The sequence below is a fragment of the Homo sapiens genome, chromosome 4, assembly GCF_000001405.40.
Source record: "Homo sapiens chromosome 4, GRCh38.p14 Primary Assembly".
NCBI lineage: Eukaryota > Metazoa > Chordata > Mammalia > Primates > Hominidae > Homo > Homo sapiens.
In genome coordinates, this window is record NC_000004.12 from 733,183 (window position 1) to 746,160 (window position 12,978).

Genomic DNA, 12,978 nt, shown 5'->3' on the forward strand with positions numbered 1-12,978 from the left:
GAAGGGGTGTGAGCATACAGCCCAGACTCTAAACTGGGCCCAAGGGTCGCGCTGTGAGCCGCAGAGGGTCCAGGTGCCCAGAGCCTGCCCATCCTCATCCCACCCGGCAGCTCTGCCTTCGCGGGCTCCTCCTGCTCCTTCCGCTTTCACAGAAGACAGACAGCTCGGGGATCCTGCCTCTCTGCAGCTTTATGGACCCTCCTCAGTCCTCACTGCAGGAGGAGAGGAGGGGGTGTTGGGCACAGAGAGAAGCCAGTGCGGGGGAGCCGGGGGCTTTTGAAAAGGTGGGCTTGTCCCAGTGCACGCAGACACTGGATTGCTGACCGTGCCCTGCACATGGGAGCCTGGGACCCCGTGAGCCCAAGAGGCTCCTGCCACCCAGGCCTCAGGGCCTGCACTGTCCTCCCTGGGGGCGGCTGTCAGAGCTCAGCCAAGGATGAAAGGCATGGAAGAGTTTCAGGTGTTAATTAATCGCGTTTTCTCTTGTAGAAGCCAAAGATGTTGACCAGGAAGATCAAGCTGTGGGACATCAACGCCCACATCACCTGCCGCCTGTGCAGCGGGTACCTCATCGACGCCACCACGGTGACCGAGTGTCTGCACACCTGTACGTGCCCTGCCCGCGCCACCCAGGGAGGGCGCGCCCTTCCCAGCTCTGTGCTCTTCAGAACCTTGGCTTTTGTGTTACCACACGCTTTTAGCTCAAGCCCGACAAAAGCAGGAACCAGGACCAGGGGCAGAGACGATCTTGAAGATAAGTCAGAAAAGTCATTTCACGCTAAAGGTCCTGTGGGTGGTGTCAGAGCAGATGAGGCCTCGCTTAGGAGAGCGAAACACAGGAGAGACCCCACATTCCTCCCACGGAGCAGCAAGGCCAGTAGCCGCTGTGACAGTGCTCACTGCTGGCAGTTTCCAAATCTCCAGAGGAGTTCCTTAGATCCTTCAAAGGGGAACCTTCCAGTGTGTTCTTCACACCTGATGTGCGTCCTCACACCTGATGAGTCTGTGCTTTGGTGTTAGAGGACTCACACCTGGGGCTGGACCTGAGTGTTTTTCTAAGTGTGGCTACCGCTGACGGGCAGGTGCCATCCATCAGGCTGAGGCTCGGCTCTTATGCTAACCTGAGGCCCCATGGCTGGCGGCCCTGCTGGTGTGGACGACCGCTGTGTGCGTCTCTTGATGGCTGGGGAGCATTTTGTTTAAACAGGATCTTTAAAATGAAGTGTACGCTTATAATACAAGTGATGCTTGTGTATTTCTCACTTTAGGAAATAAAATATTTGCCAATTTGATAGAATTTTGACTTTAACGTTAATCGTATTTTTAGATATTGGTTAGCATATTTTATGTTAGGTTATTTTCATTTGATTTTATCTAGTTGTACGTAGAAGATACTGTCATCTTTTAGGACAAAGTATTGTAAAATTATCTGTTTTAGCCCATGTTCTGATGACCCACAGCTCTGTCACCTTTGAGCATCATCTCCCCATTCTAAGTTTTTTTCCCACTTAATTCCTAACCCTGCCTCTTTGAGGAAGCCCATTGACGGGGCAATTAAAACCTTCTCATTGCTCCTGAGACCAGAACGGCAAGATGTTTCCTTTCAGAAGCTGAGAGCCACAAGGAGGACAGCAGTGAGCATCTGCACAGAAACGAGCTCAGAGACGCCCGTGTTCAGTGGAGCACGCCGATGGGGTGGGCGCCCTGGCTCTAGACGCTCTCCTAACACACCTGTGCTTTGATGACAGTCTGCAGGAGCTGCCTGGTGAAGTACCTGGAGGAGAACAACACCTGCCCCACCTGCAGGATTGTGATCCACCAGAGCCACCCCCTGCAGTACATCGGGTGAGTGTGGGCCTTCCCAGGCCACAGTACGTGGGGTGAGTGCCCCTGGGCGTCTCTGTGTGTGGGCCTTCCCAGGCCATTAGCGCTGTACTCCCATCCTGCCTTGGCAGCAGCCTCTCCTGACCAAGGGCACCCCAGGAGCTGCACACGAAGAACCTGGGTCCAGCGCTCACCAGGCCATCCTGCCAGGCCTGCCCAGGCTGTGCCTGCACATACATTTCCATCAATACTTAGGTAGGCCGGGCGCAGGGGCTCATGCCTATAATCCCAGCACTTTGGGAGGCCGACACAGGCAGATCACCTGAGGTCAGGAGTTTGAGACCAGCCTGACCAACGTGGAGAAACCCCATCTCTACTAAAAGTACAAAATTAGCTGGGTATGGTGGTGCATGCCTATAATCCCATCTACTCAGGAGGCTGAGGCAGGAGAATCACTTGAACCCAGGAGGCCGAGGTTGCAGTAAGCGGAGATTGCGCCGTTGCACTCCAGCCTGGCGACAGAGCGAGACTCTGTCTCAAAGAGAAAGAAAAAATACTTAGTCAAGTTAAATTGTTGGAGAGCCCTCAAGACCAAGTTGAATCTCATGAGTTTTACGCAGAATTTGCTGAAGTTAAATTTGATGTGAGCCGGCCCTTGGATACCCCTTTCACCTTTCTGCCATGGAGCAGATGGTCCTGGGGCCCTGGCCCTGCTGCCCCTGACACATGGCCAAGGTCTTTCTCCCTGCGCTGTGCTCTTCTGCCCAGGGTCACAGCGAGCCTGGACTCACCCCTGGGCCAGCCACCATTTCTGGAGAAGGCAACTCTTGCCTGGACGTCAGCAGGAGGCCAAGGGGCCAGCCAGGTGGAGCGTGTGGTTCTCACACAGATTTGGGAGGTCGTTCAGATTTGGGGGGTTGCTCCAAAGGAAGGGAAATGCTCCCCGTACCATGAGGGTAGTAGAGATAATTCTGAAGACACATTTTGAAGGAGGAAAGGCAGATGTGTTTGTTTTTCCCTTTTATTATTATTATTTTTCTTAATTTTATTTATTTTTCTTGAGATGGAGTCTTGCTCTGTCGCCAGGCTGGAGTGCAATGGCGCCATCTCAGCTCACCGCAACCTCCACCTCCCGGGTTCAAGTGATTCTCCTGCCTCAGCCTCCCGAGTAGCTGGAATTACAGGCGCATGTCACCACGCCCAGCTAATTTTTGTATTTTTAGTAGAGATAGGGTTTCACCATGTTGGCCAGGCTGGTTTCAAACTCCTGATCTCAGGTCATCTGCCCGCCTCAGTCTCCCCAAATGCTAGGATTACAGGTGTGAGCCACCACACCCGGCCCTCACAGACTTTTCTTTACATTATTTGGAAACATTCTAGAAAAGCCTCTGTTCATTGGAAATCCCACAAAGACCAGGAGACCCCAGGAAGCACTTGGTGGGAGGGGCAGGGACAGTGTCCCCTGAGCGCATAGGATGCAGGGAACCCGGGGTGTCCGCAGGGACGGTGTCCCCTGAGCGCATAGGATGCAGGGAACCTGGGGTGTCCGCAGGGACGGTGTCCCCTGAGCGCACAGGATGCAGGGAACCTGGGGTGTCCGCAGGGACGGTGTCCCCTGAGCACACAGGATGCAGGGAACCCGTGGTGTCCACAGGGACGGTGTCTCCTGAGCGCACAGGATGCAGGGAACCCGGGGTGTCCGCAGGGACGGTGTCCCCTGAGCGCACGGGACGCGGGGAACCCGGGGTGTCCGCAGGGACGGTGTCCCCTGAGCGCACGGGACGCGGGAAACCTGGGGTGTCTGCAGGGACAGTGTCGCGGGGAACCTGGGGTGTCTGCAGGGGCGGTGTCCCCTGAGCGCACGGGACGCGGGGAACCTGGGGTGTCTGCAGGGACGGTGTCCCCTGAGCGCACGGGACGCGGGGAACCTGGGGTGTCTGCAGGGACGGTGTCCCCTGAGCGCACGGGACGCGGGGAACCTGGGGTGTCTGCAGGGACGGTGTCCCCTGAGCGCACGGGACGCGGGGAACCTGGGGTGTCTGCAGGGACGGTGTCCCCTGAGCGCACGGGACGCGGGGAACCTGGGGTGTCTGCAGGGACGGTGTCCCCTGAGCGCACGGGACGCGGGGAACCTGGGGTGTCTGCAGGGACGGTGTCCCCTGAGCGCACGGGACGTGGGGAATCTGGGGTGTCCGGCAGACAGAAGCACGGGTTCCCAGAAGAGCCTTCTCTGTCATTATTTGAAATGTTTGAAGCAGCCAGAGCCCAAGTTAAATGACGCGTTAATTCAGCTCATACATGGCTTTTGGTGACACATTTTTTCATGTGTAAACTAGAAGTAAAATTCCAACAAAGCTCCAGACTGGTGATTCTGAACTTTGATATTGTTAAATGGAAAGTGTACAAGAATTATAGAATTAACATTTCCAGCTAACTCCACCTTTCTGTTCTTTTGCCAGTCATGACAGAACCATGCAAGATATTGTTTACAAATTGGTACCAGGCCTCCAAGAAGGTGAGTGTCTGACTGTCTTGCTGATCCCTGAGGTCCCAGCCTGGCCTCTGCAGCCCCTGCTCTCCTGGAAGTTTGGTTCTCGGATGGGAGGCCCCTTTCCTTTTGGCCGAATCACCGTCTTCTCATCCCTGCTCTCAGCCCAACTTCATCTCCTTGGCTGGTCTCTTCTTTCGTCTAAGATGCGTAGACATCTTTTTACCCCTTATGTGTATTCATTCAGCAAGTATGGATCGCATGTTTAGCACATGGGACCCCCAGGGCTCAACGCAGCTCCTGCCCCTCCCAGGACCCTGCCTTCTTCCTGGGCCCCACCTCCTGTCCCAGGCCTGCCTCCCCTCATCCCACAGCGCCAGCTTCCCCACAACAGAGGAGCAGCACGTTGGCATAGCGGGTAGCTGGTGTTTCTAGAAAAACTTCACCATAAAGTCAAATTTCATTTAGAATTAAAAGAAATACCAAGTAGTACAAATACCCTGAAAGTGGAAATCGGTTGCTTGGGGATCGCTCAGCTGAAAGCTCCCCAGCTCCCGACACTCTCACGGTGGTGGCCCTCCGCTGGCGACCGGCAAGGAGGCCAAGGAGGGGCCAGGTCAGCGCCAGGTGGGCTGTCCTGGTATTCTGCTCATCAGACCTTTCAAAGGCAGATAGAGAAGCTGAGAATTCACTTGGGCTGGTTCTCACTGTATCTCAGAAGAGGGTTGGAATTCAAAACACAGCTGAATATGCCAGATCCGTAGAAACCGTATCTCGCCTTTAATGCGTGACCCAGAGAATCATACTGTTAGAGGCTTCTTCCCTACTCACAGAGTTCATTCATGCAGGAAGAATTTAGATTTCCTGAGTAAACGTAGATAGAAACAATTAGTCTTTTAATATCTGAAAGTTTTTTAGTCCTGAGAAAAGGCAAAGGATACATTCGAGTTAAATGCTGACACCTTAAGAAACGTTTGCACCGAGTGTTTCAGACGCGTAGCAGTGGGCGGGATCGGGGCGGGACCCCAAGTTTTGTGACCCCCGCCAGTGCTGACACTTTAAGAAACGTTTGTGGCCGGGTGCAGTGGCTCACGCCTGTAATCCCAGCACTTTGGGAGGCCGAGGCGGGTGGATCATCAGGTCAAGAGTTTGAGACCAGCCAGACCAACATAGTGAAACCCTGTCTCTACCAAAAATACAAAAAAAAAAAAAAAATTAGTCGGGCGTGGTGTCAGGTGCCTGTAATCCCAGCTACTCAGCAGGCTGAGGCAGGAGAATCGCTTGAACCCGGGAGGCAGAGGTTGCAGTGAGCTGAGATCGCGCCACTGCACTCCAGGCTGGGCGACAGAGCAAGACTCCGTCTCAAAAAAATAAATAAATAAATAAAGTGTGCACTGGAGCGTTTCAAACGCTTAGCAGTGGGCGGGATCGGGGCAGGAACCTCGAGTTTTGTGACCACCACCCCCCGCCAGCAGTTTCTAGGCGTGGCCGTCCTTGCTGCACCTGCTGCTCCCTCAGCCTCACCCCGTGGCCTTTGATCTGTAAAGGCTGCAGTACGTATCCCCAAAAGATAAGGGTTCTTCTTAAAGCTCATAACCACAATACCTTGATAATGTTTAGGAAAATAGTAGAGATTCCTTAATACCAAATAGCCACTCAGTGCTGACATTTCTAGTTGTCTCATAAATGCGGTGCTTTTTGGTTGTTGTTTATTTCTTTATTTATTTTGAGACCTGGTCTCTGCTGCCCAGGCTGGAGTTCAGTGGTGCTATCACAGCTCACTGTAGCCTCAACCTCCCGGGCTCCAGTGATTCTCCCACCTCAGCCTGCCAGGTAGCTGGAACTACAGGCAAGCACCTCCATCCTGGCTAATTTTTTGTAGGGATAGGGTTTTGCTGTGTTGCCCAGGCTGGTCTTGAACTCCTGGGCTCAAGCAGTCCTCCTGCCTTGGCCTCCCAAAGTGCTGGGATTACAGGTGTGAGCCCCCACACCCAGCCTGTTTTTGTTTATTCCAATCAGGATCCAGAGAATACCACTGACTCACGGGCCTCCTTCTGGTTCCTGCCTCTGCCTTCCCATTGTCCTGGGTTGTCCTGCGGCAGTGGACCTGGGTGCGTTCCACCCGTGTTTTTGGGAAGCCCGCTTCTGGGCATCCATCAGGGCAGGTGTCGTCCATGTGCTGAGCCGGGTGGCACTGAGATCTGCATGCCACCTCCGTTCCATCGCTCGTCTCCACGTGTTAGTTGGAGTGTGCGTCCAGCCTGGAGCAGGTTGTATGTTCTCGTCCACCTCAGCACGCTCTTGTCCGGTGTGGACGCTGCCAACTCCACTCTACGTTGAAGAAGTCGAGAGGCAAGAGGTTCCGGAGTGCTCCAGATTGACACCCCCAGGGCACGGTGGCCCCGAGCCGCCTCCCTGACCAGCTCCTGTCTCTGGCCACCATATTTTCCGTTGAGTCAATATTCTTTTTCTTGTTGTTTCTCAAGCTTTCAGTCATTTGTGGCTCTTTAGCAGGAGGATTCTAACTTTAAAACTATTAGCAGTGCACCTATTTTCTTGATGGAGGCTACTTGCAATTTGTTTAGTTTTATCTGTGGTGCAGACAATTGCAAACCTCATTTCTCCGACCAGAGGCCTCTTCCTGAAACGCGCGTTAGCTGCGAGGATGCAGTGGTGAGGCGAGGTGTCAGCCCTTGAGGGTCCAGGTGTCTGTTTTGGAGGAGACGCCAACACGGTCCTGCCCCTCCCACCTGGACTCCGGGCAGGCCCTCAACGCTGTCCCCGCACCCCCACATGGTGGGGGCTTGCTGGAAGAGAGTTCCCTGCTAGATCAGAGGTGGGGTTAGGTTTTTAGTGGTTTGTTGTTTCTTTTTGTTTTTATAAATTATTTTAGAAACCTGTCTTCGTAGAGGCAACATGTTTAAAACATTTATCAAAGTGTCCATTCTCAGTCTCAGCCCACTCTGGGCTCTTTCACTCGGTGGGCGTGTCATGGTCTTTGGTGTGCCAGGCTCCTGTCCGTTCCTGGTGAGGGCTGTGGGGCTCACGCACTCACCAGTCCTCTTTCCATGGATCCTGAACATGCCTGTCACCTCTTGCTTTAGAAACGTGGGGGCCGGACACAGTGTCTCATGCCTGTAACCCTAGCACTGTGGGAGGCCGAGGCAGGAGGATCCCATGAGCTAAGAATGTTTCTTTACATTTTTAAATAGTTGGAAAAAATCAAAAGCAGCGTATTTTATGATGTGATAATTTAAGAATTGAAATTTCATGGTGCGTAGCCTGGTTGGAACCAGCCCCACTGGCTCAGCTGTGGTCGCCTTCACCCGTAAGCCCGTCCGTGGTGCAGCTGAGTGTGTGCCAGGAGTGTGCTGCCTGCCTGCCGGTGGCTTTGGGCAGCCCTCTGCACCGTGGCTGGAACTCATCGTCACTGCATTGGGACGTTTTCATGACGACGTCAGAACGAGGAAAGGAGAAAAGGGGACTTTCAGGGCTGCACTTCGAAGCCGCAGTGAACTCTGGATTATTTTGTTGTTGAACTGTCATTGTTGATGGCAAAGCACCGACTTTCTCATCCGTCATACTGTAGCTATGCTGAGAGCAAACAGCCGACGATGGAGTCACTGACTCAACACCAGCAATATCCCCACTCACAGGAAAGCAGTATTTAGACACCAGCAATATTCCCTACTCACAGGAAAGCAGTGTTTACAAAATGCTGAAAATTTAAAATGGAATGTCTCATCACAGCAGAATTTCTTCTCAGAAGTGAAAATGAAGATATGGCTGTAGTCAGAATAAGCTTCCAATTGGCTGATTCGTTAGCGTTATGCCAACAGTGAGCTCCTCAGATCAGGCTGGACTGCCGCAGCTCAAGAGCAATGTCCAGAGACAGTGAGCTCTTATTTATTTATTTATTCAATCATTTTTGAGACGGAGTTTTGCTCTTGTTGCCCAGGCTGAGTGCAGTGGCACGATCTCAGCTCACTGCAACCTCCGCCTCCCAGGTTCACACAGTTGTCCTGTCTCAGCCTCCTGAGTAGCTGGGATTACAGGCAGGTGCCACCATGCCTGGCTAATTTTTTGTATTTTTAGTAGAGACGGGGGTTTCACCATGTTGGCCAGGCTGGTCTCGAACTCCTGACCTCATGATCCGCCCGCCTCAGCCTCCCACAGTGCTGGGATGACAGGTGTGAGCCACCGCGCCCGGCCCCAATAAATGTTTCAGTGCCTGTATACACCTGACACTGAGTGCTGCTATTTTTAATCCTTCTTTATTCTTACAGGTGAAAATTAAAGAAATGGGAACTAGAGCCAAGGGTCAGGGTCTGAAGCTGAGTTGCTTTCCACTGTGTCCGTGGGGCTCTCTCCTTTGCACGGACCTATGTGGCCTGTTGTTCCCGTCACGGCTCTTCTGCAGACTGATGGGAACAGCCTCCTGCTGTCAGCCCCTGTCTTGCAGGCCTCCATTCCAGCTGCTGGGATGTGATTATTTAAGGGAAACATTTTCTTTCAAGCTGCTCTCAGATTCTCCAGGCTAATCTTTCAGCATTTCCCTTGTGAGGCTCCAGCACTCCATCCACCTGCGGCCGGCCCCACCTATCCCCTTGGCTCTCAGGGTCCCCTCCTCTCTCTGCCCAGGCTCTCGGGGTCCCCTCCTCTCTCTCTCCCCAGGCTCTCGGGGTCCCCTCCTCTCTCTGCCCAGGCTCTCAGGGTCCCCTCCTCTCTCCCCAGGCTCTCGGGGTCCCCTCCTCTCTCTGCCCAGGCTCACGGGGCATCCTCCTCTCTGTCCAAGCTCGTTGCCTCACGCGGGCATTGGTCCCTGCACGGTTGGTGTTTGTGAGGCAGCTGTGTAGGTTGGGGTATGCCCAGAGCGTTTCCCTGGCCTGGCCGAGCTCATGGTATGTAGGGAGGAAATCGTGGATAAAAAGTTTGGTGAAGAATTCCTTGGTCACGTAGCACATACGTTACTTTTCAGAGTGATGTCTGGGTTGCGGTTTGAGCAGCTTTTTTCTAACCTTTCTTTGCTACCTACTGTGTGTTCCCGAGCAGTGACCCACGTCGTCCACTGTGTCCCCTGGGTGTGAACTAAGGTCACCCTTAGGGGGCCTTTGCCGAGAGTCTGTTTGCTTTTCCCTGGAACCTGCGAGGTTCTGGCCAGCTCTTGCTGGCCATCCCTGGAGGGTCAGGCCTCCTCTGGTCCGGCCAGAGGTGACCCAATGGCAGGTGTGGGTGAGGATGCTGCGGCCCGTCTGCCGCCGGGCAGTCTCCTCCCTGGAATTTGTGCCTGTGGCTGTGGCCACAGACACCAGGGGGCGCTCTTAACCCACTGCCAGGCAACGGGGTGCCAGAGCTCATAGCTGTGAGCAGCCCTCCCTGCAGGCTGTGGACTCAGGCGCCTGGGACACATGGTCCCCGGGGCTCTCGGGCCCTCGAGGGCTCTCTTGGGGTTCCTCAGTGGTGGCCTTGGGTACCTGTGAGCCGGCAGGATCTGCCACTGCGCAGGAGCGTGGGGGGAACCCAGTGGCAGGTTCATCTCTGAGCTGCGGGTGTCCAGGCAGTCCACTGGCTCAGCCGTGAGGTCAGCAATGATGTCTGGCATGGCACTGCTGTGGCCACAGTGTTTATCAACCCCTGGTGACGGGTGGTTCTGCGCCATTGGACACTCACAGGCAGTGGCTGAGGTGGGGATGACAGTCCCGCACCTGGGTTTCCCAGGCCCCGTGCCTGTCCTAGGCCTGGAGCAGCCGGTCTGCGACTCAACGTCCCACGTGGGTTGGTGGGGCGGGTGCCCGGGGGGTGCGCTTCCCGCTGTGCTGAGCCCCCAAAACATCTCAGTCTTAATTTGCTGCTTTCTTATTAGTAGCCTTCAAACTTCATAATGCAAATCCCTAATTTTCTTTATGTGATGTTTATGAACAGAAGTTTAATAGAATCCACTGCCTGTGAGATGAAAGACTGTGTGTTGATTTTCCGCAGCGGAAATGAGAAAGCAGAGGGAGTTCTATCACAAATTGGGCATGGAGGTGCCGGGAGACATCAAGGGGGAGACCTGCTCTGCAAAACAGCACTTAGATTCCCATCGGAATGGTGAGTGCCCTGCGTGCCCATCCAGAAGCCCCGGGAATCCCCTGCATGAGGCCTTTTCTTAAAGAGCTGGCGCTGTCTGCCGGCCCCTCCCACACGCACTCACGGGAGAACGTGGGGGAACCTGAGGGTGTGGGGCGGTTAGGGTTCAAGGCGTTCCTCCTCACTCCTGGTACCAGTGGGAACGTGGGCAGAGGGGAAAAGCCAGCAGGGGAGAGCAGGAGGGCCCCCCGAGAGTGTCTGGGGGGCAGAGGTCAGGGTTCAGAAGGCCTGTGGAAAGAGTAGTGGAAGGTGAACTTCCTGAGACTTCACTTGGCTTGCTTTACTGTAAAATGGCAAAATAATGGTTTGGTTTCTGTGTAAAGGGAATGGTATGTTGAAATCTGAGGGTATCACAACAAACGTTCATGTCTTGAGGACATTTTATTTTCCTAATGGACCACACCAACTCTTAGGAAATGTTTAGGCTCCTCCGGGCGTCTGTGACAGTTGGAGGGTGGGAGGGGCCTGGCTCTGTCACCCCCACGGCTTTGCGGGTCCCAGGAAGCACAGCCATGAGGCGTGGTTAGGAAGCGAGTCTGGGAACCAAGCAGTCCTGTCAGAACCCTTTTACCTGAGGGGAAGTTTTCATTTTAAAAGCGGTGTTGAAACAGTGGATTTTTAGGAGAAGGCTTTCAGATCGAGGGGCTGATGTGGTCAGCACTGAGCAGCTCCGGGCGGGCCTGGCCATGTGGCCAGTGCGGAGCGTGTCTGTGTCCCACGCCGGCTCCGGCTGCCCCGTCTCTGTCTCCTGTGCTCCCCACGCCTGCACCCCACAGGCCCACACGCCCGTTCTGCATCCTGGGGAGACCCCTGCAGACACTTTGCGGACGGCTTTCCTTTGACGCTTACTCCGCTCCGGGGGTCCAGAGTCTCTTAATGGAGTGAATTTTTGACGGCATTTGGAGTACAGTGTAGTTTTTTAAATGGCTTGACAGTTTGGATTTCATGGTGCGCTATGTTCTGTTTGTGCTAAAAGGTGAAACCAAAGCAGACGACAGTTCAAACAAAGAGGCCGCGGAGGAGAAGCCGGAGGAGGACAACGACTACCACCGCAGCGACGAGCAGGTGGGCGGGGCCCGGGGGTCGCTGCAGTGTTAGTGTTCGCCGTGGAGGCGTGAGCAGGTGGGCGGGGCCCGGGGGTCGCTGCAGTGTTAGTGTTCGCCGTGGAGGCGTGAGCAGGTGGGCGGGGCCCGGGGGTCGCTGCAGTGTTAGTGTTCGCCGTGGAGGCGTGAGCAGGTGGGCGGGGCCCCGGGGTCGCTGCAGTGTTAGTGCTCGCCGTGGAGGCGTGAGCAGGTGGGCGGGGCCCGGGGGTCGCTGCAGTGTTAGTGCTCTCCGTGGAGGCGTGAGCAGGTGGGCGGGGCCCGGGGGTCGCTGCAGTGTTAGTGCTCTCCGTGGAGGCGTGAGCAGGTGGGCGGGGCCCCGGGGGTCGCTGCAGTGTTAGTGCTCGCCGTGGAGGCGTGAGCAGGTGGGCGGGGCCCCGGGGTCGCTGCAGTGTTAGTGCTCGCCGTGGAGGCGTGAGCAGGTGGGCGGGGCCCGGGGTCGCTGCAGTGTTAGTGCTCGCCGTGGAGGCGTGAGCAGGTGGGCGGGGCCCGGGGTCGCTGCAGTGTTAGTGCTCGCCGTGGAGGCGTGAGCAGGTGGGCGGGGCCCGGGGGTCGCTGCAGTGTTAGTGTTCGCCGTGGAGGCGTGAGCAGGTGGGCGGGGCCCGGGGGTCGCTGCAGTGTTAGTGCTCGCCGTGGAGGCGTGAGCAGGTGGGCGGGGCCCGGGGGTCGCTGCAGTGTTAGTGCTCTCCGTGGAGGCGTGAGCAGGTGGGCGGGGCCCGGGGGTCGCTGCAGTGTTAGTGCTCTCCGTGGAGGCGTGAGCAGGTGGGCGGGGCCCCGGGGTCGCTGCAGTGTTAGTGCTCGCCGTGGAGGCGTGAGCAGGTGGGCGGGGCCCGGGGGTCGCTGCAGTGTTAGTGCTCTCCGTGGAGGCGTGAGCAGGTGGGCGGGGCCCGGGGGTCGCTGCAGTGTTAGTGCTCTCCGTGGAGGCGTGAGCAGGTGGGCGGGGCCCGGGGGTCGCTGCAGTGTTAGTGCTCTCCGTGGAGGCGTGAGCAGGTGGGCGGGGCCCGGGGGTCGCTGCAGTGTTAGTGCTCGCCGTGGAGGCGTGAGCAGGTGGGCGGGGCCCCGGGGTCGCTGCAGTGTTAGTGTTCGCCGTGGAGGCGTGAGCAGGTGGGCGGGGCCCGGGGGTCGCTGCAGTGTTAGTGCTCTCCGTGGAGGCGTGAGCAGGTGGGCGGGGCCCGGGGGTCGCTGCAGTGTTAGTGCTCGCCGTGGAGGCGTGAGCAGGTGGGCGGGGCCCCGGGGTCGCTGCAGTGTTAGTGCTCGCCGTGGAGGCGTGAGCAGGTGGGCGGGGCCCGGGGGTCGCTGCAGTGTTAGTGCTCTCCGTGGAGGCGTGAGCAGGTGGGCGGGGCCCCGGGGTCGCTGCAGTGTTAGTGCTCTCCGTGGAGGCGTGAGCAGGTGGGCGGGGCCCGGGGGTCGCTGCAGTGTTAGTGCTCCCGTGGAGGC

The 12,978-nt window shown here is 56.3% G+C and overlaps 1 protein-coding gene and 1 long non-coding RNA gene across 11 annotated transcripts in view, besides 1 other annotated feature; both read left to right on the plus strand.

Annotated features, from left to right (window-relative positions):
* PCGF3 (polycomb group ring finger 3) overlaps positions 1-12,978 on the plus strand; it is a 64,258-nt gene that overhangs the window by 27,351 nt on the left and 23,929 nt on the right. For 7 of the 10 annotated variants that reach the window (NM_001395245.1, NM_001317836.3, NM_001395246.1 and 4 more), the window contains 5 exons: positions 490-607; positions 1,749-1,845; positions 4,284-4,339; positions 10,292-10,402; positions 11,418-11,506. In NM_001395245.1, the coding sequence (NP_001382174.1) occupies positions 499-607; positions 1,749-1,845; positions 4,284-4,339; positions 10,292-10,402; positions 11,418-11,506 (462 nt within the window). In that variant the 5' untranslated portion in view covers positions 490-498. The other 3 variants (NM_001395250.1, NM_001395251.1, XM_047449500.1) reach the window with 2 other exon arrangements.
* LOC107986246 (uncharacterized) lies at positions 6,245-8,557 on the plus strand. The gene is made up of 2 exons (XR_001741543.2): positions 6,245-6,762; positions 7,525-8,557. It is a non-coding gene; the product is annotated as an uncharacterized LOC107986246 (long non-coding RNA).
* Positions 9,506-9,595: a silencer, noted in NCBI's record as "silent region_15107". NCBI's record gives its function as "represses an Ori minimal core promoter by ATAC-STARR-seq in GM12878 lymphoblastoid cells {active_cell/tissue: GM12878}" and the evidence as "EXISTENCE:reporter gene assay evidence [ECO:0000049][PMID:35858748]".